The sequence below is a fragment of the Homo sapiens genome, chromosome 22 (assembly GCF_000001405.40).
Source record: "Homo sapiens chromosome 22, GRCh38.p14 Primary Assembly".
Lineage (NCBI taxonomy): Eukaryota > Metazoa > Chordata > Mammalia > Primates > Hominidae > Homo > Homo sapiens.
Genome location: NC_000022.11, coordinates 25,656,232 through 25,678,118, shown reverse-complemented (window position 1 = coordinate 25,678,118; position 21,887 = coordinate 25,656,232). Strand labels below are relative to the sequence as shown.

General features: G+C 39.9%; 1 protein-coding gene across 5 annotated transcripts in view; it reads right to left on the bottom strand.

Moving 5' to 3' along the window:
• GRK3 (G protein-coupled receptor kinase 3) overlaps nucleotides 1–21,887 on the bottom strand; it is a 164,620-nt gene that overhangs the window by 51,176 nt on the left and 91,557 nt on the right. For 4 of the 5 annotated variants that reach the window (NM_005160.4, NM_001362778.2, XM_047441167.1 and 1 more), the window contains 5 exons: nucleotides 16,442–16,543; nucleotides 14,415–14,489; nucleotides 10,319–10,380; nucleotides 5,772–5,823; nucleotides 3,591–3,682 (listed from right to left, as the gene is read on the bottom strand). In NM_005160.4, coding sequence (NP_005151.2) covers nucleotides 3,591–3,682; nucleotides 5,772–5,823; nucleotides 10,319–10,380; nucleotides 14,415–14,489; nucleotides 16,442–16,543 — 383 coding nt within the window. Of the gene's footprint in view, nucleotides 1–3,590; nucleotides 3,683–5,771; nucleotides 5,824–10,318; nucleotides 10,381–11,398; nucleotides 11,487–14,414; nucleotides 14,490–16,441; nucleotides 16,544–21,887 lie in introns of those variants that run through there. The other variant, XM_011529975.3, reaches the window with a different exon arrangement.

Here is a 21,887-nt window from a genome sequence, read left to right as displayed (position 1 = left end):
TGATCAACAAAATGGAAAGGGAAGGCATGAATTCAAAACAGCATGTCCTAAAATGCTATTTTATTGATTTATTTTTAATTTTGATATTTAAGTTATGACGTTTTAAATAATACAAAGAATCAATAAGATTTTTCTACTATCATTGAGGCAAGTCAATTGAGAAGAACCAATTGGCAACTTAAGATTTTTGAAAACCTGGAACAAACTCATATTTAGAAAATGCAGACAAGTTATATGGCATATTCTATAGAAAACAGGAAGCTTTTTCGGTAGGACAACAGAAGGCTAAAAGGGAATTCTTGCAAGTGTTTTCACACGTTTCACAGGCTGAAAGTTCTTGTGTATAACTCTAAATTCCCAGATGATGGACTACTTCCTTCAGCCCGGATCTGCAGCATGGACACTGTCTCAGTGTAGCAGACACAGAAAATCTACCTTTTTCTTGTTGATCATAACTTATCATGTTTAAGTTATATAAAAACAAGATAAATGTTCAAATTTGGTGTTTTTATCCACTTTTCTACGAGTTCTTACAACAAATCAATTGGCAAGACATTAATTTGCTTACATGTGGGATCAAATGTTAGAAACACATGAAGTGATATGTTCTTCAAATATCTTATTTTTATTTAAAAGAATTTTCAAAATGTTTTACACTACCTCTATCACCACTCTCTTCCATGTGGAGTTGATTTCTTTTCTTTTTTTTTCCTTTTCTTTTTTTTTTTTTTTTTTTTTTTTAAGATATGGGGTCTCATTCTGTTGCCCAGGCTGGAGTCCAGTGGGATGATTGTACCTCATTACAGCCTCAAACTCCTGGTCTCAAGCAATCCTCCCACCTCAGCCTCCAGAGTAGCTGGAGCATAGCTGGGACTACAGGCACCTGTCACCAGGCCCATCTAATTTAAAAAATATTATTTTTAGAGATGAGAGTCTCATTATGTTGTCCAGGCTGGTCTCGAACTCCTGTCCTCAAGCAATCCTCCTATTTCAGCCTCCTGAGTAGATGGGATTACAGGCATGAGCCACTGCACTTGGTGGTTTTTAATAAAACCTTTAGATTGCAGACCAAAGGAGATAGCACACAGGCCTCGGGCCTCTGGGAAGCAAGTGCATTCTTGGGCCTCTGTTTAGAAGGTATCAAAGAGCTACCTAACAGGCTCCTAGGGGTGCACCTTGTGGTTCACTGATGGGCTCGCAGAGCCAGTGTGCATGCAACTGGCAGCCTGGTGACAGGAACAGACATGAGTGAGGGTTCGTGGGCCTTAAGACTTGACCCCTTTCTAGCTATATGGCTCCTGAGAAGTATCTACACTTGATCTATAGAATAGAAGAATATTTACTACCCACTGGCTATTTTTGAGAGTTATGTGAAATAGTAAATGTGTACAAAGAGATAAGTTGATATTATTTCCTTTTTTTTTTTTTGAGACTGAGTCTCGCTCTGTCACTCAGGCTGAAGTGCAATGGTGCAATCTTGGTTCACTGCAACTTCCACCTCCCGGGTTCAAGCAATTCTCCTGCCTCAGCCTCTCGAGTAGCTGGGACTAGAGGCGCCCATGACAACTCCCAGCTAATTTTTTGTATTTTTAGTAGTGACAGGGTTTCACTGTGTTAGCCAGGACAGTCTCGATCTCCTGACCTCGTGATCGGCCCACCTCAGCCTCCCAAAGTGCTGGGATTACAAGTGTGAGCCACCGCGCCCGGCCGATATTATTTACTTCTATAACATCAAGTGTCTGACTAGATATTCTAAATACAATTATGAAGCAAAACTAGCAGAAATTAATGAACGGTGCCAAGCAACAAGTAGAGTATATCACTTAGGATGAAAAAGTGCACTGTGCAAGTACAGAATAAGAAAGAACTTTTCCATGAGAAAGTGACCAGGGTTGCAGAGGACTGTGTTTCAGTGAAAGTGACCAGGGTTGCAGAGGACTGTGTTTCAGTGAAACTGACCAGGGTTGCAGAGGACTGTGTTTCAGTATACTCTAATTTCCTTGTACTTAACACACAACAAGCAGCCTTCCGAAAGCCTGACAAAGTCTAATCTCATTTAATTCTCATAACAAGGCACTTTTATTACTCCTACTTTATAGACCAGGAGATGGAGGCATTGAGAGGTCCCAAACTTTGTCCAAGGCAGAAAGTGTGGAGGGTGAACCTGACGTAGCAGGTGTGATACCAGGACCCTTACTCCAGATCCCTAGGCTACATTGCTTGGGCACCACCCCAGACTTCAAACTCCTGAGTGCCGGGCATCAGGCTCGCCCTGCCCAGGCCCCCAGAGTAGAAAGACAACCAATGGGTACAAATTAACAAAGGTAAATTTCAGTCCTCAAAAAACATATCATCCATTGGACCTGTCTGAGAACGGAAAGGACTTCTTGGCAAAGCCATCAGCTCCCAATCCCAGGAAGTGCCTGAGCAGAGGCTGACCGGAGGCAGGCACTGAATTAGGGGGCCTCAAACACCCCTTCTCCCACGGACTCAATTACTTTATAACCAAGCCTCACACACTATACTACTCCACCAAGCCCACTGCTCTAACATGCCTGGCACTTAACCAAACTTGTAGTTCTGGATCTATCAAATCATATTTTTCCACTATCTTTTGCTTTCAGAAATATGTCTTAAGCCACTTCTGTTAAAAAAAAAAATGTTCCCCCACACTTAAGAATTCCACCATTCACTCTCCAGAAGACCCTTCTACCCAGCTCAGATGCAGTTAGTTTCTGAATGCTGACCTCCCAGGAAAAACGTTAACCAAGGTGAGTGATGGAGCCCATGATCGGTGATCATTGTCCACAGGGCTTCCTCCTCTCCAGCACCCCAGCTACTGATCTAGCGAACCAGCATCTGAAATGCCACAACGGCTTATGCTTCACTTCATCGTCGGTGAGTCTTTATTTAAAAGAGAATGTCTCTCTTTTGCAAAGCAAACAATTCTTTGTCATGTGATCTGATGGGGAGGCTGAACGTAACATGCCACAGTTGTCAAGGATCCCTTCTAGTTCACCTCTGGCTCCCTGGCTCCCACCCACAACCCGCACCATCTTGGGCACAGGATACAAGGTTATTGTTGAACTTCCCATTTGGCCCTAAGAGGTGGAGGTTCCAGCTTATTGCTCTCATTCCCCATGCTTAACAAAATACAGCTTTTTTTTTTTCCAAGACAGAGTTTTGCTCTGTTGCCCAGGCTAGAGTGCAGTGGCAAACTCCGCTCACTGCAAGCTCTGCCTCCCGGGTTCACGCCATTCTCCTGCCTCAGCCTCCTGAGTAGCTGGGACTATAGGCGCCCGCCACTGCGCCCGGCTAATTTTTTGTATTTTTAGTAGAAACGGGGTTTCACCCTGTTAGCCAGGATGGTCTTGATCTCCTGACCTCGTGATCCACCCGCCTCTGCCTCCAAAAGTGCTGGGGTTACAGGCGTGAGCCACCACGCCCGGCCTACAGCTTATTTCTTTTGGAGGTAAAGTACTTCAAAAGAAATGTCATAGGTTTCCACATTTCTTTATAGGAATTTTCTTTTCATGCAAATATTAAAATTTTAATAGTGCCAGTAAAACATAAGAGCATTGAAAGCTTACATTTTTCCAGTGTCTGCTTTCCTGCAACCATAAACTTCCCCGAATCCTCCTCGTCCAATAATCCTATGCACACTGAACTCATTCATGGTCAACTGGGAAATCCAAACACAAAATGAAAACATAAGATTACACAAAGCTATGGTGTTTTAAAGATTTTTTCATGCAAAACATAGACAGTAATTAAAATAGCAATCTGACTTAGGGATCTACCCTTTTCATGACTGAGTCTTTAAGCTGAAGGATGAGATGCCCCAGGGGTGGCAAGACTTTTGACAGCCTCCCTCAGCTCCACCTCCAGGATAAACGAGGCACCAAATGGAGGCACAAGGGAAGATGATGGAGTGGAACCAAGCCGAACTGTTTCTCCACTCTCACAAATCCCAGATTACAATATGTATACCTTGAGGACAAGTGAATGTGAAATGTCTAATCAAAATGAAAAGCAGCCTTAGCTACTCCGAAGCCTAATGTTTGGGAACAATCCAATGCTTCCGAGAACTGTCAGAGTTGAAAAATGAGAGTCCATGTCAGGGGCATCTATGTGTTCATGATACAAGGCCATATGATCAGGAAACCCAACAGATGCAGGCCATGTGAATTTGTTATTGGTAACATCAGTGAATAGAGAGGACTCATGCTGGCCATGTGAGCGTGAAACAAGGCTAAATGTGAGTGAAGTATATACAGAGGCTGTATTCATAAGCACTTTCCTTCAGTCAATAATATCTCAGTAATGCCCCACTTCATCATTAGATTTAATAATGTTAAGTGGCACAAAGACAGATAGTGAATCTGACATTTCACGTAAGAGGCCGTAAGACAATAGCAAGTACCTACTACTTTACATATCCTGGCAAATTAAGGGTGGGATTCTTTAAGGGCTCCCCCAAACAACCTTAAAACATCCTATAGAAACCTGCGTTTGGGCCACAGACTTCACGTTTGATTCTCAGAGTCCACAAGGACACAGGGTCTCCCGAGGCAGAAGCGTATGAAAGACCCAGAGCAGATATAAGGGGTTTTTAGAGTATCTGGTATTGCCTCTTGCTTCTAAATCCTTCCAGGAAATATGATGGGAAAAGGAGGTTAGAAATTGAAAAAAAAAAAAATAGATCATTTCTTGGCCTTTTAGTGAAGATCAAGTATTTTTAAAAAAAACAAAACTCCTGCTGGGCGCGGTGGCTCACGCCTGTAATCCCAGCACTTCGGGAGGCCGAGGCGGGCTGATCATGAGGTCAGGAGATAGAGACCACCCTGGCAAACACGGTGAAACCCCATCTCTACTAAAAAATACAAAAAATTAGCCGGGCATGGTGGCGGGTGCCTGTAGTCCCAACTACTTAAGAGGCTGAGGCAGGAGAATGGTGTGAACCCGGGAGGCGGAGGTTGCAGTGAGCAGAGATCGCGCCACTACATTCCAGCCTGGGCGACAGAGCGAGACTCGTCTCAAAAAAAAAAAAAGCCCCTCTTCCAACAATACCATTCAAGTAAAAAATCTCAAAAAAAAAAAAAAAAAAAAATTCCGGTTGATTGTTTTGCCCAATTGCAAGCCTATGAGAAGGGAGATTATAAAACAGAATGTAAGAAAGACTGTGCAAAGAAATGTGTGCATTTTCAAACTGCAATAAGGATGATGCAATAAGAATGACTGAAATTGAAAACTTAAAGTAGATGAAACACTAAGGAGATGACGTGTTAGAACGTGGCCTGTATTGGAAGATTGCTTTTATCACTCTCAAAATGATAAAAAAGAAGATGAAGCCTTGGTCTGATAAAAGATGTCATCATTTTCATTATGATACTCAATTTGTATTATTATATCTAATAATAAGAAAAAGAAAAGGAACTCTACCAGAATGGCAGAAGGCAAGGACATGAAGGAGTTATATTAAGTAAAAGATTTGTATTTTTACTACTATTTTTGTTAAAGAGTCAATTACCTCTTAAAATATCTTACATAAACAAGCACATTCTCATATGAATATGAAAAAGGATTAAAGCTTCTATTGTTTATAAGGAAGCATGGGAGGGTGAATGCTTAGTACTTAAAGCTGTAAGACAGACATCTGTTTGGGCAGTGGACCCTCTGGGAGTACGTTCCAGAATCAAGTATTTTCTCATGAGGTTAAGCCAGAGGAAGTTTTTATTTAAAAAATGAAAAAAGAAAAAGATGATACTCACATGGATATTTAATTCAACGTTTTTCCACTGACAAAATCTAGTGAACTTGTCACTAAAAGAGAATAAAATAATTACTAAAAAGTTAAATATCAAATTAACTGGATTTACAAAACAACACCGTAAGACAGACTAGAACGGCATTACTTGGGTTGCTTGTCAAATAAAGTTAAGTTTTCTGAAACCCTTTTTCACAGAGCATTCACCCGTATTCATGGCTTTATTTCATGATTCAAATGAAAGATTTCATGTTTCTTCTTTAATTGTCATAAGCTATGGTACCACTTTTATCTGAATCAGCAGAGTCCAATACGGAGATGATATGAACCACATATATAATGTAATTTTAATAATATACTTTATGTAACCCAATATATTAAAAATTCAACATGAAATCAATATGAATTAATGAGATATTCTACATTCTTGTTACTATATTAAGTCTTTGAAATCTGAAGTGCATTCTGCACTTAAAAGCACATTTTAATTTAGACTCATCACATTTGAAGTGTTCAATAGCTGTATCTGGCTACTGGCTACCATATTGGACAGCCATGGCTTTTAAAGCACAGCTCTAAGACAAAAAATTAATGTTTACAAATAATTCTAAGAGTAGCCATGTGCCAGGCCTGCTCATGTATTCCTCCTACAGACTCTACAGCCAGGTACTATTATGATCCCCATTTTATAGCTGAGGAGACCAAGGCATCAAAATGTTCAGAGGCTTGGCCAAGGTCACACAGTGACAGAGTGGGAGAGTGGAATTTGAACCCAGACCAATAGACACAGGTGGTATAGAAGAGAAACCCTCAGACTAGAATCCTAAGAGGCAATAGGTTCACCACACTGACATGCTCCCACAATTCACTCAACTGCTTGATGAGTGTTTTCTTTATCCATGAGGAAAAAGATATATCCTGTATCTATTTAACAAAGACATTTTGATTACGTTTTTTATTAATGAGCAATATATCTGTAAGGTGGGTCTTTTGTTTTTGTTTTTGTTGCTTTGAGACGGAGTCTCACTCTGTCGCCCAGGCTGAAGTGCAGTGGCGCCATCTCGGCTTACTGCAAGCTCCGCCTCCCGGGTTCACGCCATTCTTCTGCCTCAGCCTCCGGAGTAGCTGGGACTACAGGCGCCCGCCACCACGTGGACTAATTTTTTGTATTTTTAGTAGAGAGGGGGTTTCACCGTGGTCTCAATCTCCTGACCTTGTGATCCGCCCGCCTCAGCCTCCCAAAGTGCTGGGATTACAAGCCTGAGCCACCACGCCTGGCCTGTTTTTTGTTTTTGTTTTGAGATGGAGTCTTGCTATGTCCCCAGACTGTAGTGCAGCGGCGCGATCTCAGCTCACTGCAAACTCCGCCTCCCGGGTTCATGCCATTCTCCTGCCTCGGCCTCCCGAGTAGCTGGGACTACAGGGGCCCGCCACCACGCCAGGCTAATTTTTTTTTTTTTTTTTTTTTTTGTATTTTTAGTAGAGATGGGGTTTCACCATGTTAGCCAGGATGGTCTCGATCCGCCCGCCTCGGCCTCCCATAGTGCTGGGATTACAGGCGTGAGCCACCCTCCCGGCCAGGTGTTTGTTTTTTAAACTATTTTCAAAAGAAATGCATTCTAGATTGAATACTTCGTAGAGAACATTCTGGTGATGGTTCGATCTCATTTTGCCCCTGGCATGATTCCTTACACAGACACAGGATTCAGGGAGAGAGGGAGGAAGGGAGGAAGGGAGGAAGGGAGTTATAGGTAATATTAGCATCATACTGGAATGCCTTAAAGACATCCAAATATCACAGTTCCCTAGGGGCTTCATTTAATGAGCTTTACAATTTTTTTTTTTCTTTTGGAGACAGGGTCTCACTCTGTGTCCCAGGCCGGAGTGCAGTGGTGCAATCCTAGGTCGATACAACCCTCAATTCCTAGGCTCAAGTGATCCTCCCACCTCAGCCCCCCAAGTGGCTAGGACTACAGGCACACACCACCGCACTAAGCTATTAGTTTTTAATTTTTATTTTTGAAGATAGTGGGTGTTGCTATGTTGTACAGGCTGGTGTCGAAGCCCTAGCCTGAAGCGATCCTGCTGACTCAGCCTCCCAAAGTGCTGGGATTACAGGGGCGAGCCACCACACCCGACCAATAGACCTTTTAAAAAATAAGGATCTTTAACATATTTCTGAGGCTAACAATCAAATTAAAAATCAAAAGCAGAGGAATAGTTGCAATTACAATAGCATCTTTTTTTCAATGAATCTAAAATGACTCACAAAGAGTGTTTCACTGATCCTCCTAACATGTCTAATGAAGTTGGTCAATTAAAATTATGTTTTGAGACTTTCTAAGAGTTATTTCAACCTATTTTTTAAAAGTATGGTGCATGCAAAAGGCAAAACCACATTTGGGTGCACTCCCATTTATAAATCTATGACTGGTCTTTGAAATGCACTTGGTTTGTGAGGCTAGCTCTTACTGTCTTTTCTCACAGATTCTGGAGTCCAGAGCTGGTGACAGGGGATGGAAATCTGACACATTTTACAACTAGCTGAGGAGGGTTAACAAACAAGGAAGAGAGAAGTGCCTACATATTTTGCCCACTAAGAATGGATTTGCTGTAACAAGTTCCTCTTTAGGAAGTACAGATGGCCCTGAGTATCTAGGCTCAGTCCTGTCTCCACGGGGGTTATTTGAGTGCTATTCCCAATCAATGCCTGGTTACTGAGTGGGACACTTTTGACAGGAGGGGAACTGTGACAAAGGAAAGAGCCCAGACAATGATAGGGCTTCAGGTAGCTAGAGCCCTTGCAAATGACTTCAAAGGATCTTGGAGAGAAGATCAGAGGTTAAAGACATGGAAACGCCTGGGATGCAGTAAGGGTGGAGTAGGAGAAGTGTTTTTAACTCTGATTCCTGACTCAGTCGTTGTCCTGCTGAGCAACTGAAGTTCACTGCCTGAATGAGGCGCATAGCTCTCAACTAGAAGAGGGAAAGCCTCCACTGCCCTCTCCAATTCTGCCTCACCTGGAACTCAGCCCCACAGCCCTGCTTGGACCTCAGGGAAGGTGGGAAGACATCGCACATGTCCCTGCATTGCTGATGGCTCCCTCTTTACCATCAGACTCAGGGTGGTCATGGAAAAATCACCTTTTCCATGGGGCCCTTCGTGTGCCCAGTCCCTATGAGGTCAAAGGCTACATGACCATATTGATGGAGTCCCTGTGCTTTTCAAAATCAAAGCTCCAAACTTATCACCTGACATGAATTCTTTTTTCTAATTTGATGGAAATTAACAAATCAACTTTAAAAATAATTTATTTACAGAAAATTGTAATGGCTGCAGAAAATCCCATGTGCCTGCTTGCCTAAAATGCAAACGGCATCGTTTGCATTTACTGTGAGGCTATGAAATGACTGTCTCAATGAGCGAAAATCACTATATCTGTGAGCCTGGTTTCAAGTGAAAGGATGCATGGCAAAGTTATAAAATATCCATGGGAGAACCTCTTCCCCACTTTCAATTACCTTCCCCTCTCTCCCTTCTCCCTTAAGGATCACACAAAAGTTAGGTTTACCCAAGAGTTGGGAAAGGTCAGATTTTAGGACCAACAGCCATGGAGATGGCCCAGGACTTGGCTGCAACTCAGCCCTGAGCCAGCAGCCCACCCTCTCCCTTTGATGCTGGCGCTTTTTGGCAAAGTTCCTGCTATTACTCAGAAAAGTACAATCGTCTGTAAGAATATTAGTTTCCCAACATATTGACTCTGCTCCAGGATAAAATTACCTCTTGAACTCCAATAGAATTGCAACACAACTTTCTTTTTAATTGCTTTAGTTCTGTGAATATGTGGTGAAGAAAACTACAGTAAAGTAGCATTTGTTCTTAAAGTGCAATTACTGAGCAGCTGCAGAAAGCTCTAGCATGAGATATTATCATCACGTATATTGTCTAGAAATTAGCCAAGCTGATAAAGTCAGTGTCAATGCAGATTCTGTTTTAGAGGGTCCAATTTCAGTGGTGCATTGTCACAGAGACATACTCAAAAAACTGAAGAATTGACCAGTAGATCTATAGTTTGAGTAACCAAGGGACATATTTATTAGGTATTTAATGATGTACACGATCATAAACAGACATTGACCTATGTCCTTAAATTCTACTCCTACATGAAGAATCAAGTACAGGCTTGTCCTGCTTTGGGAGACATGTTTCCAAAATCCAAGCAAATGAATCAGATAAATTATAGTCAAGTTTGCATTATTAGCAAAGGTCTCTCAATAAGATACTTTTTAAAATTGAGGTTCCTCAGTGTATATTTTAGACTCTATTGAAGCTGAGAAATTGAAGGTCAAAGAGATGTTAAGATAGACAAACCCTAAAATTATAATGTAAAGTACTGAGGAAACAGTTTAACACAAAGCCTGGCACATCGTACATGGTCAGTGAATACTTGCTAAATGATTAACACACATTTTAAGGTCAGCATTTACGGCATAAGATGAGGTACACGTACATGATAAAAAATTGTGTATATATATGCATAAAGTTTCATACCTTTCCATAAATTTTTGAAAAATGTCACCTCGAAGGCTTTCACAAATTTCTTCTATGTATGGCTGGAAGAGATGGAAAAGAAATTCCACGGTGAATGAATCGGAATGTATCAAAAAAACACAAACCAATGAGACTCAGGTTAAGCGAAGTTCCCAATTATGCACTCCCCATAGCATTGTGTCTGGTACCTGCCCTTCTCCGTGCTTGTCTAATATTCACTAATGCATTCATCAATATTTATCTACACCACTTGATTCTATGAAGACACAGACAAGTCTGCCCTGTTTGCCACTATATTCCTACTACCTAATATGACTCCTGGCAAGTCACAGACACTTCTTACAGGAGCAGGGCTCGCTTCATGGAAGTGTGACTCAGAAAAGCCTGGTGCTGGGTTTAAAGCTCTGTTGTTGCCATTTTGAAATTCTTAATCATTTTTGTATGAGGAGCCCTGCGTTTTCACGTTGCACTGGGCCCCACAAGTTATGTGGCACAACTTGTAAGCTAATAAAAGCATCTGTAATCTGCACTGAGTTTTAAAAACTCAAAGCTAATAGGTCCATGAAGTGAAATTTTTTTTAATTAGCTATTTTATTTATTGATTTTCTATCTCTTAGAGTCATAGAGAAAACCACAGGGGAGAGTTGATCCAATCCCACTCCTCATCTTACAGGTAAGGCTACCAAACTGCAGGCAGGTGCACTCCCAAGGTCTCTGAGAAGGTCCATGGCTAAACTGGGGTTAAGGCGAGGGCTCCTGGTTCACATGCACAGTGCTCTTCCCCTCATGGAGAACAACTACCATCTACTTCAACTTCATGCCACTTTACCCATTACTGAATAAACAGCATCAGCTTTCCTTTTCCATGTTATGAACTTTTAAAATCAAGAACTATAAAAATATAAAGAGACAATATTTCACAGTTCAGCCCAGAGTCAATTAGATAGTTTTGGGAAACATTTTGGCACCCTCAGCTCATTGAATGATCCAAATTTAACCTTTTTTTTATGTCTTCATAGATCATCCTGAAAGTTTACAAAACAAAATAAAAGAAAAACTACATCATGGAACAGTACAAACCAAGTGATGAGAATAGGAAGTCTGCAGAAGCCACAGGAACCAAACATGGGCTGGGAGGCAGCTGCAGTCCTTCTGGGAGCCTTGCTTCCTGCAAGCAGAAAGGACGCTAGCCTGGCGGGCAACGCGGGATAGGGGGCGGTGGTGGGGGGTGAGCCAGTCTACCCCAACTTGCAGAACTATCCCTGTCCTGGGGAAGGCACTGGAGCTAGTTGCGAAAACCATATGGACTTTGTCCCCTTTGTGGTGAAAGAGGAAGCTAAATTATCTCTCTCTGAAGTTCCTTCCAGCTCTGAAATCCTGATTCCAGGAAACACACAACATCTATCTTAGCCAAGTCCTCGACAAGTCTCAAGAGGTTCAAAAGAGTCAAGAGACGAAATAGATTCAAATGTCCAAAGATCTAAGAAAAGGCTACATTTATAGATCACAGATTTTTCTATTTATAAAAGCTATTATGTCAATTAATATTTTTCTTTCATATTTTATCAAACATCCCTACTTTCTGCTAATAAAGTAAAAGATGAGTGTCACTGGGAATTCCTAAGACTACGTAGAATCTACCATGCTGCCACTTTTCAACAGAAAGAACCGCAACAGGCTTGCTAAGGAGTATGAAAGCCAGAGTTCAACAGTGAGATGAGGAGCAGACTACTTTCCCTCTCTGATCCTCAGTTCCCTTAATCTGTAAAAGAGAACAGTCGTATCTAAATTGTAAGGCTGTCGTGAGAATTCGGTAAGATTCAGAATACTGAGAGCCGAGCTCAGGGCACAGTGCATTTTAGAAGCACTCAAGCACAAGCTAGGGCCCCTCCCAAGCCCGCCACCAATGGACCTATGCACTTACTTACCTCTAAAGGCAATCTTACAACAAAAAGAATTTAATAAAAAGCATTCGTATTTACTTTAAAAACAGTTTTGTTTTACTATGAACTTCAACTGACTTTACTGGTTAATGTACCTCTGTAAACAGGACATTCAGACATATACCTTTTACTTATACTTTAGTCATTATGCTCTGATGGTACATAATACATAGAATTGCATTAATATACTCCTTATTTTAATAAACTTTATAAGATTTTCTTCACCTCTGAAATAAGAATAATACCCATTCTATATCTGTTTAGCCAGAAAATTTTGACTATTTTTTTAATGAACAAAACAAATCAATAAAGTGTTTTTTAAAAGATATATGAAAGAAATTGCTTCTAAATGAATGTTTTTTGAAGGTATGAAAGAATCCTAGTGGTCTTTGTATCTCAACTGGAACAATTTTTTTTCAATGTTATTTATGTTATAGTGGAAGCTAAAATCAGATTTGTAAAACCCATGTATTATGAGGTATGGTTTAGCAATGTTAAATGTAATTGACCATAAGGCTGTCTACGTACCATGGCAAAGTCAGATGAAAACTGAAATTCTGACACTCAAATATCATGGAGACAACAAAAAGCAGATATTGACACTGTACTTTCTGACTGTAAGATGTGTGATAATAGCTAACATTTGTGGAGCACAGTGATAGGCGGGCCTCGTACAAAGCAACCCGTGTGCACCCTTCTCACTGAATCAAGACCTCCCTTTCAGGGAGAGCGCAGTGTCATTTCCACTTTACAGATGAGAAAACTGAAGTTAGGAAGGTGGAGGAGCTTACCCAAGGTCCTCCAGCTACGGCCCTGGGACTCAAAGCCAGGTCAGGTCAATGAATTTCATAACCCAAGCTTATAACCCACTACTATCCAGACAGGTATTACATTTTATGAAAGTCCATCTAATTATTGTCACAGAAAGGTAACACCCAATTTGTTACTATCTAAATATGCTCTAAGAGCCAAATCGGTATTTGCTCTGCTGAATAATCAAATTCATTTTGCATAAACACCATCATAAGATGCCAAAGTTGGCCGGGCATGGTGGCTCATGCCTGTAATCCCAGCACTTTGGGAGGCCGAGGCGGGCGGATCACAAGATCAGGAGATCAAGACCATCCTGGCTAACACAATGAAACCCCGTCTCTACTAAAAATACAAAAATTAGCTGGGCATGCTGGCGGGCACCTGTGGTCCCAGCTACTTGGGAGGCTGAGGCAGGAGAATGGCGTGAACCTGGGAGGCGGAGGTTGCAATGAGCAGAGATAGCACCACTGCACTCCAGCCTGGGCGACAGAGCGAGACTCTGTCTCAAAAAAAAAAAAAAAAAAAAAATGCCAAAGTCAACTTACCTCCCTTTAAATGCCCAACTTATCCAGGAAAAAGATGAGTTGATTATTTTCACTTATTAAAACCATTATATTACTCAATGACATTCTTTCCTATTTCTTGTAATTTATAGAAACATGAAAAGCACTTTGTTCATTGGAGAATCTGACTGTCCTTGTAAACCACTGCCACCTCTATAAAAAACACAGGATGGAAAAGGCTTTTGGGAGGAAGTGAAACCACCTCATCTAAGGAATGCCAAATACATAGGCCTATTAGTTGGGAATCTGATTTTCCAAGTCTTGTCATTTAAACCTGTATGACGGTATTGTGTTCAAGATATGAACAGCCAAGGTAAAATACAATTTCCCATGACTCAAAGATCACTCAAACATTTGCTCCTGAATCTTGAAAATAAATTGTATTTCCCCTAGAGGATAATCACAGCAAGTATCAACAGCCTGGCACTACAAAATAAATCTTGTAGAGTCATTGCTCATCACAGGTGCTGGAATGTCAAATGGGCAAAAACTTGCTTCTCTGATGTCTTATCTTGACTGATTTCTAGAACATAATGTTACGACAAAGCTCTAATGACCTTTTTCAGAAAAGGCTTTAGGAAGCACGTTGGTAGAAGGACACTTTGCAATGGGAAGATAAGCGATAATAAACTCAAATAGTCCCAGACAAAGCTCCAGAATAGAACACAGTCTTTACAAAGCAAGTCCTCTAGTGTAATTGCACATGCAAAAAGAATGTCACCAAGGCCAAGTGTTAAGCAAATATTATCTATTTATTTTGGAATAATTTTATCTTACCTGAAAAAGAGTTGATGTCACTTGTTTCTTGGATAAATGACTTTGTACGTGTTCTACAGCTTGCTTTGAGAAAGGCTATCAAAGTCAAAAATAATATTTTTAAATAATAAAATGTAACCAATCTGTGTATGTTATATAATATCACAACAGATAAATTTAACACAGCAATTACTAAACAGTAACCTACGGTAATTATATTAACAAACATTCTTTAAAAATCTGTTGAGTATTTATAGGCAATCGCAGCAAATGCTTGTTCCTCTGGGCATCCAGTTCTTAGATACATGCCCAGAAGAATGACCATGCAGGGGCTGACATTATGCAATTCCAGAAGGGTTCAAGATCACTCTGATAATAAAGTGTAAAGAATCCTATTATCAGGTCAAGTGCACTGGTTCATGCCTGTAATCCCAGCACTTTGGGAGGTTGAGGCAGGAGGATCACTTGAGCCCAGAAGTTCGCGATCAGCCTGGGCAACACAGTGGAACCTCATTTCCATAAAGATAAAAATAAAAATAAAAATGAGCCAGGCATGGTGGTGTGCGCCTGTAGTCCTAACTACTCTGGAGGCTGAGATGGGAGGATTGTTTGGGCCCTAAATGCATACATTCATCAACAAACTGATAATGGGGTTGTAAAAAGATAAAATTTCCATCAAATAAGAGAAAATACACAAAAATACCCCTAAGAATTAATGTCAGGATTACAAAGTCAAGCCATAGTGGTAAAAGGCTCTAGTTAAGGAAAGTCTTACTGTAACCACAGCGAGGGGAACTAGGGGGAAAAAAATGGAGCTCCCACTGATAAAAATTAAAATGGTATCCTCCCCTCTCCAAACTTCAAATTGTGTCTTCTTTAATAATGTACAATAAGAAGAAAGGCTTAAAAGTACCATCATACGAATAAACACCCTCTAAACTGCTGAACTACATAAAAACTAAGTTTACGGAGGCTTTCCCATTGAACATCTGGCATTCTTCAAGGGTTCAGTCCTTCCCTACTGAGGCAGCAAGGCATGGAGTAGCAACAATTAGTCCTAGGCCCAGAAATTCCTTCATCAAGCCAGGTGGGTCCAAGGAACAGAGCAGTGCATGCCGCAAGAAAGAGACGTCCTCTTTAGCCACAGTTATGCAAATGTCAGCAAGAACTGTACATAAACAATGAATACAGAAGCACCAAAATACACCAATACCATGACCAGTGCTGTCCAATAGGACTTGCTGTGACAATGGGAGGGTTGTGTATCTGTGCCATCCAATACAAAAGCCACTAGCCCCATGTAACCACTGAGTACTGGAAATGTGGCTCATGAGGAACTGAGGTATTAAATTTTTACTCCCATTTGACTTTAGTTAATTTAAAGTTAAATGTAAATTGCCACATGCAGCTAGTGGCTGCTGCGTTGATACAGCAGGCCAGGACTGTCAGGCCACCTTTTGGAAAACATTCCTAATATAGAGATATTACATGGTAAATGTTCTTCCAGTTACTCCTGATAGAATAATTTCCTAATAACCTAGTTTATCCTAATGACCAAGTTAGATTGTTTATCTGATTTACAAGGAAAAAAAAATATTACAACTGCTATTGAACTATTAATGGACAAAATTAACACAATGATTATAAGCCACTTTATTCATTCAAAGAGACCATTTAAAATTTATATTTATCAATAGCTGATTAGCTTAATTGTTAAAGTATAGCTCATTTTAAAATAATAAAGCTTAATTTCCTTTAGAATGTCTTGAATTGAGACTTTTTCTTCAGTTGATCTAAATTAGCAATTTTATTTCATTGATGTTTGCAGTGAAAGTATCAGCTTTTGGAAATAAACTAAGCTTACACGAAGCAACACACATCGTGGTAATATTACCAGGAAACAACAAAGCAGAAGAAATAGGATCCATCCCGGGCGTGCATTTTTCAATTTTAAACACCTTTCTACTGTTTAACTTTCATTCTGGAAACGCTGAACATGGTCCCTTATTCATCAGTACTAAAGTAACAGAGTAAGAAGAAATACTTACATGTGAACAGGAAAGAAGTTCCTTCATGATGTAGGCATCATAAATTTGTCGACTTCTGCAAAGGCGGTCTTCCTCATTATCAAGTTTTTCATATTCCTTTATCTAGGTTTTTTAAAGTTATCATTGTTAGGTTGTATCTTCCTGGAAACTTGCCTTATTAAAATATATTACTGGCCCAGGCAGAAACCACTTGCACATGAGATAAAGCAAATTACTGAACCGGCTATTCCACAGGAAACAGCTACTTCTAATGTTGTAATAATGAAGTTGGAATAATTTAAATTCAACTAGAAACATACAAGTGGATTTTTTCCCTATGATGACTCTCATCACTTAAATGTAGAAACATAATATTAGGAAACACACACTGCCATGGTTACAATTATCTTACAATACACGAGCCATAGACCATGCATCCTTGCCAATTCTCCTCTTCAAAGCACAAATCATTTCAATTTGGCTGTAATTCAGTTCTAGGAGTTAGGATAGGGAATGTTCTCACTCAACTGCAGTGTTCCAAAACTACAAGGAGGAAAAAAATATACTGCCAGAATTCCTGCAAAGAGATTTTTCAAAAATCAACTAAAGCAAATAAGTATTATAGAAAGGAATTAACCCACAGATGAAAGCATTGGCTTTTCAGGTTGGAACCTCAGCTGCACTATAAAAGTATTAACAGACAGGTGACTGGTGACTTCAAATCGTGTATTTTGCTGTATTCAGCAAAGGTAACCTGGTTGGTGTTAAAAATGACTAAATAATGAAACTGTGCTTTAGAAATATTTGCCTTATGTGGAAATGGCTCCCAATGCTCTAACCTGATAACAGAAGGTCCTGGACCTCAGAATTGTTCCCAATTTATTTACAGAAATACTTTTAATCCAAAAGACAAGAAGAGAATGAAAACATACATGAAATATGAAGCTCGGAGGGAAACTGTCACAAAGATCTTCACTATAATGACTGATTAGTACATATGACTTCCTTTCACAAACTAAATAGAAATAAAGGTTACCTTTTACCTTATAGTACGGCTTTCACAGCTTTGAAATCAAAACCAGCAAATCCTATTTATTAGACTCCTAATAAAGATAAGGGCACAGTCATGCAGGTGAGGGAAAAAGGGTACGTGAAACACTGAGGTCCCATGAGTCATATGAGGGCTAGCAGGTTCACACGCTGAGAAATTCCCAGGAACATCTTAATTGTCCTGAAAGATCATCAGTGTTACACTGTGATGGCTGAAATTCACATGGAGTCTTCTTGAAGAAGACAATAAAACCTGACATAAAGGCAGGCAGACTGGGGAAGGCTGATACTCTATCCAACAGGAAAATCTTTATGAAGAATCAGTCCAGTAATGTCAACATAGCCAAAAGACCAGGGCTTAACCATTCTAAGTCAATTCAGGAGAACAAGTCTAACATGTCCAAGCACCATACCAGATGTGAATATGGTAGCTGCAAAGTAACAGAAGCCAGATACCAAAATCCGAAGGAGAGTCGGAAAATAAATCAAAGATTTTTGGCTTGGCTGATTCCTTTTGTTGTATTTTGCTTTAGGCAAATCCAAAGGTTAATGCCAGAATGCTAGGATAAAATGGTAGACTATCACTAAACCAAAGGCAAAAGTTTCTGCCTCTACATAAGAACAGCCTCAAGGGATAATAAGACTTCATGGAATGATGATCCTTGAAAACAAGTGTAATGAAATTTAAGTCTATGTTCCAAGAAACCTGCAAAGCAAATTGACACCTGGTTAAACAAATGCTCATTCTGTGGAAGCTCCTTCCCATGAACAGTCAAATCCCATCATTTCTGGGTAAATCATGCTCTGAACCACAACACTGTCTTGACTAAGAGCCTTGTGCCTTCTAAGCTCCAACTTGACAACAGAAAAGGTAACTCTTGGTATGCAAAATAAGAGCCTAAAGCATCTGTGGCTGTAATTTGGTATTCACTTTCTATAATCAGTAAGACCACTGATTAAAGACCATGCAGTCGACTACCAATAGCTCTAAACAAACATCCTATTGCAGCATATACATAGCAAATGCCATCTCTGACCCCGGAAGTTTGGTTGTCCAGGTAACCTGGGCAGGGAAAGGTCTGAGTTCAAGGTGAAAAGTCTTCCCTACTGCAGGATAGAAACACTATCATCAATAATAAATATTCACAGACCTGTAGTCCCTTTCTGCTTTGGTGGTTACACAGCTCCCAGGTGAACTGGAAGCCTAAATAACCTGAGCCCTAAGAGCAAGCACTTTTGGTCCACAGGTGTCATAGTCTCTGCTTCTGCGCCCACCCTTTGTTCCACCACCATTGTAGTGAGATGGTCTAGTGAAGTCATCTCTGTCTGGCCCAATCCAAGGCTCTCTCTTTTGTCCTTCACCTTATTGACTTCTCAGCAGCATTCAAATCAGTTGTCCACTGATGCCTTCTTTGAAATATTCTTCTCTGACTTCTGTGACCTATCCTCTCCAGGCTTCTCTTTCTTGGTCTCCTTTGGTAGTTCCTCTCCTCTGCTTGACTTCCAAATCCTGAACTGCCTCAGAGCATGGTGCTGGGGGCACCCCTTCTTCACCAGCTAAGTTCTCCCTAGGTAAAGCTATGTAGTCCCACAGTTTCAAATATCAATTATATTCTGATGACTAAGTCTGGATCTCTAGGACTCCTGAGCTCCAGATTCTAAATATCTAACTATCTATTTGACATTTTCAGTTGAATATCTAGAAAGCATCTCAAATTTAACACATCTAAATGAAACCCTTAACTTCCACATCCTCTGTACTCCAGCCAAACGGGCTCCTCTCCCAGTCTTCTTTATCAAAAAAATGAGTAAAATCATCCTCCCAGTTGCTTAAGCCAAAAAATGAATAATCATAGTGATTCCACTCTTTCGCCACGCCCCTGCCACCACCACCCCCTACATCCAATTCATCAGCAAATCACGTTTGCTTTATATTCAAAATATAACACAAACTCAGGCTCTGCTTCTGGTCAGAACCAATTAATTCCTAACAGAACAATCCTCCTGAGATAACAACTAAAATTCTGGACACATAGACAATAAGCACTGAAGAGTGACCAAAGGAACACAGAGAATGGAAAAGGGCATCCAACAGAAACTGTAAGAAAATAAAGAGCCACAGAAGGAAAGCTCCAAAATTCTATGTATAAATCCAGTCAAAATCCCTGGTGGGCCCCATAATGACACATGAGCATGACAGACCCTAAGCAGCCTAGCTGAGCCTTAAAGAACTGAACAAGATTCATCTTCCACCACTGCAGAGAGGACAGGGCTCAGAGTTTGAGTAAGCCAAGTTAACTGTATTCTTCAACGAACAGATGAAAAAATCCATACACCTTGGAGGAGCATAACAGAGTTTAGAGTATCCACAATGTATCAATCACATGTTCAAGATACAAGCTAAAATTATTCTACAGATGAAGAAACAGAAAATGTGACCCATATGCAAGAGGACAAACCATCAATGAAAACCAATCCAAGATAGCCCAAATGTTAGAATTATCAGACAAGGATTTTAAAGCAGCTATTATAACTGGACATAACAGAAAGGATGTTAACAGAAAATATTCATGTAACGAATAAAAAGATAGGAAATAGCAGCAGAAAATAACTATGAAAAGAACCAGATAAAAATGTCAGAAGTAAAAAATAGAGTATCTGAAAAAAACATTCAATGGAATGGCAGATTAGAGATGCCAAAAGAAAATGCCAATAAATTTGAAGACAAATCCACAGGAAGTATCCAATCTAAAGAAAAGAAAGAAAAAATATTGGGGGAAAACTCAGACAGGGCATCCAGGATATATAGGACAGATAATATCCAAATATCAAATATATATATAATCAGTCTTAAAAGGAGAGGAAAGAAAGATTGAGGTAGAAAAATAATCCTTTAAGAAGTAATGGCCCCTAATTTTCCCAGATTTGGTAAAAAATATATATATAAATTTACAGATTCAAGAAACTCAGCAAACTCCACAAAGGATAAATACAATATCTAAAATTACTTCACTAAAAAGCAGAGGCTGTCAGAATGAGGGAAAAAAATAATCAAGACACTTTTATATCTGTCTAAAAGAAACACACTTTATATATAAAAACAAATTGATAGTAGAACGATGGGAAAAGATACCTCATGAAAATAGTAAGCATAAGACTGAAGTGTCTACATCTGTATTAATATCCAGTGAAGTCAATTTCAAGACAAAGAATATTACCAGAGATAGACACATTTCATATGGAAAGACACAACAATCAAAAATGTTTCTGTACTCAATAGCAGAGCTTCAAAAATTATGGAGAAAATGGACAAAATAAAAGAAGAAACAGACATTCTACAATCATAGTTGAAAATTTTAACACCCTTTTCTCAGCAATTGATAGAACAACTAGATATAAAATCAAAAGAGATGTAGAAGGTATCATATCAACTACCTTGACCTAACTGATACTTATAAAACATGACACCTAATACTCCTCTGTTTTAATTTTTCCACGGGCATTAGAATAAAATGTAAATGTGTTACTCTGGCCCCAAACACTCTGCCTCTCTCTTCAACCTGATCTTATCTCACACTACCTGCCCCTCTCTTCATGCAGTACAACCAGACCACACTAGTCCTGTTTCAGTTCCCCAAACATGCCCAGTTCTTTCCTACCATGTTAGGGGCTCTGTCTTGGCCACAACTTTAGCCTAAAATGCTCTCCCCCTCACCAAGCTTCCATCTTCAAAAGACCAGCCTCTTTAACATTCAAACCTGGGTTTAGATGTCATCTCCTCAGACAGTCTTTGACCCATCAATCTAAAGTGGTCACCAAGTCACAATACAACATGCTGAGTTTTGAGTAGGTTTTGAGTCATTACATAGCAGTTTTTACTTCCAGGTACATTTCCTGTTTATTATTTGTTTCTTGTCTGTTTCTCTCAACCAGAATACAAGCTCAAAGAGATAAGTTCTTTGTATCTGTTCATCTGAACAGTGTCTGGCATAATGTTGGTGTTTAATAAATATTGGTTATGCCAGGAGTAGTAGTAGCTCATGCCTATAATCCCAGCACTTTGGGAGGCTATGGGGGGAGGATCACTTAAGGCCAGAAATTCAAGACCAGCCTGGGCAACACAGTGAGACCTCATCTCTACAAAAATTTTTAAAATTAAAAAAAAAGTATCTGGGTGTGGTGGTACACCCTGTTATCTAAGCTACTCAGGAGGCTGAGGCAGGAGGATCACTTGAGCCCAGGAGTTCAAGACTAGAGGGAGCCATGATTGCACCACTGCACCCCAGCCTGGGTGACAGAGTGAGACCCTGTCTCAAAATTTAAAAAATAATAAATAAATATTGGTTGAATCAGTGAAAAAATCTATATAGTAACTTTACCTTGGAATAATATTTATTTTCTCTTTCCCATTATTTAT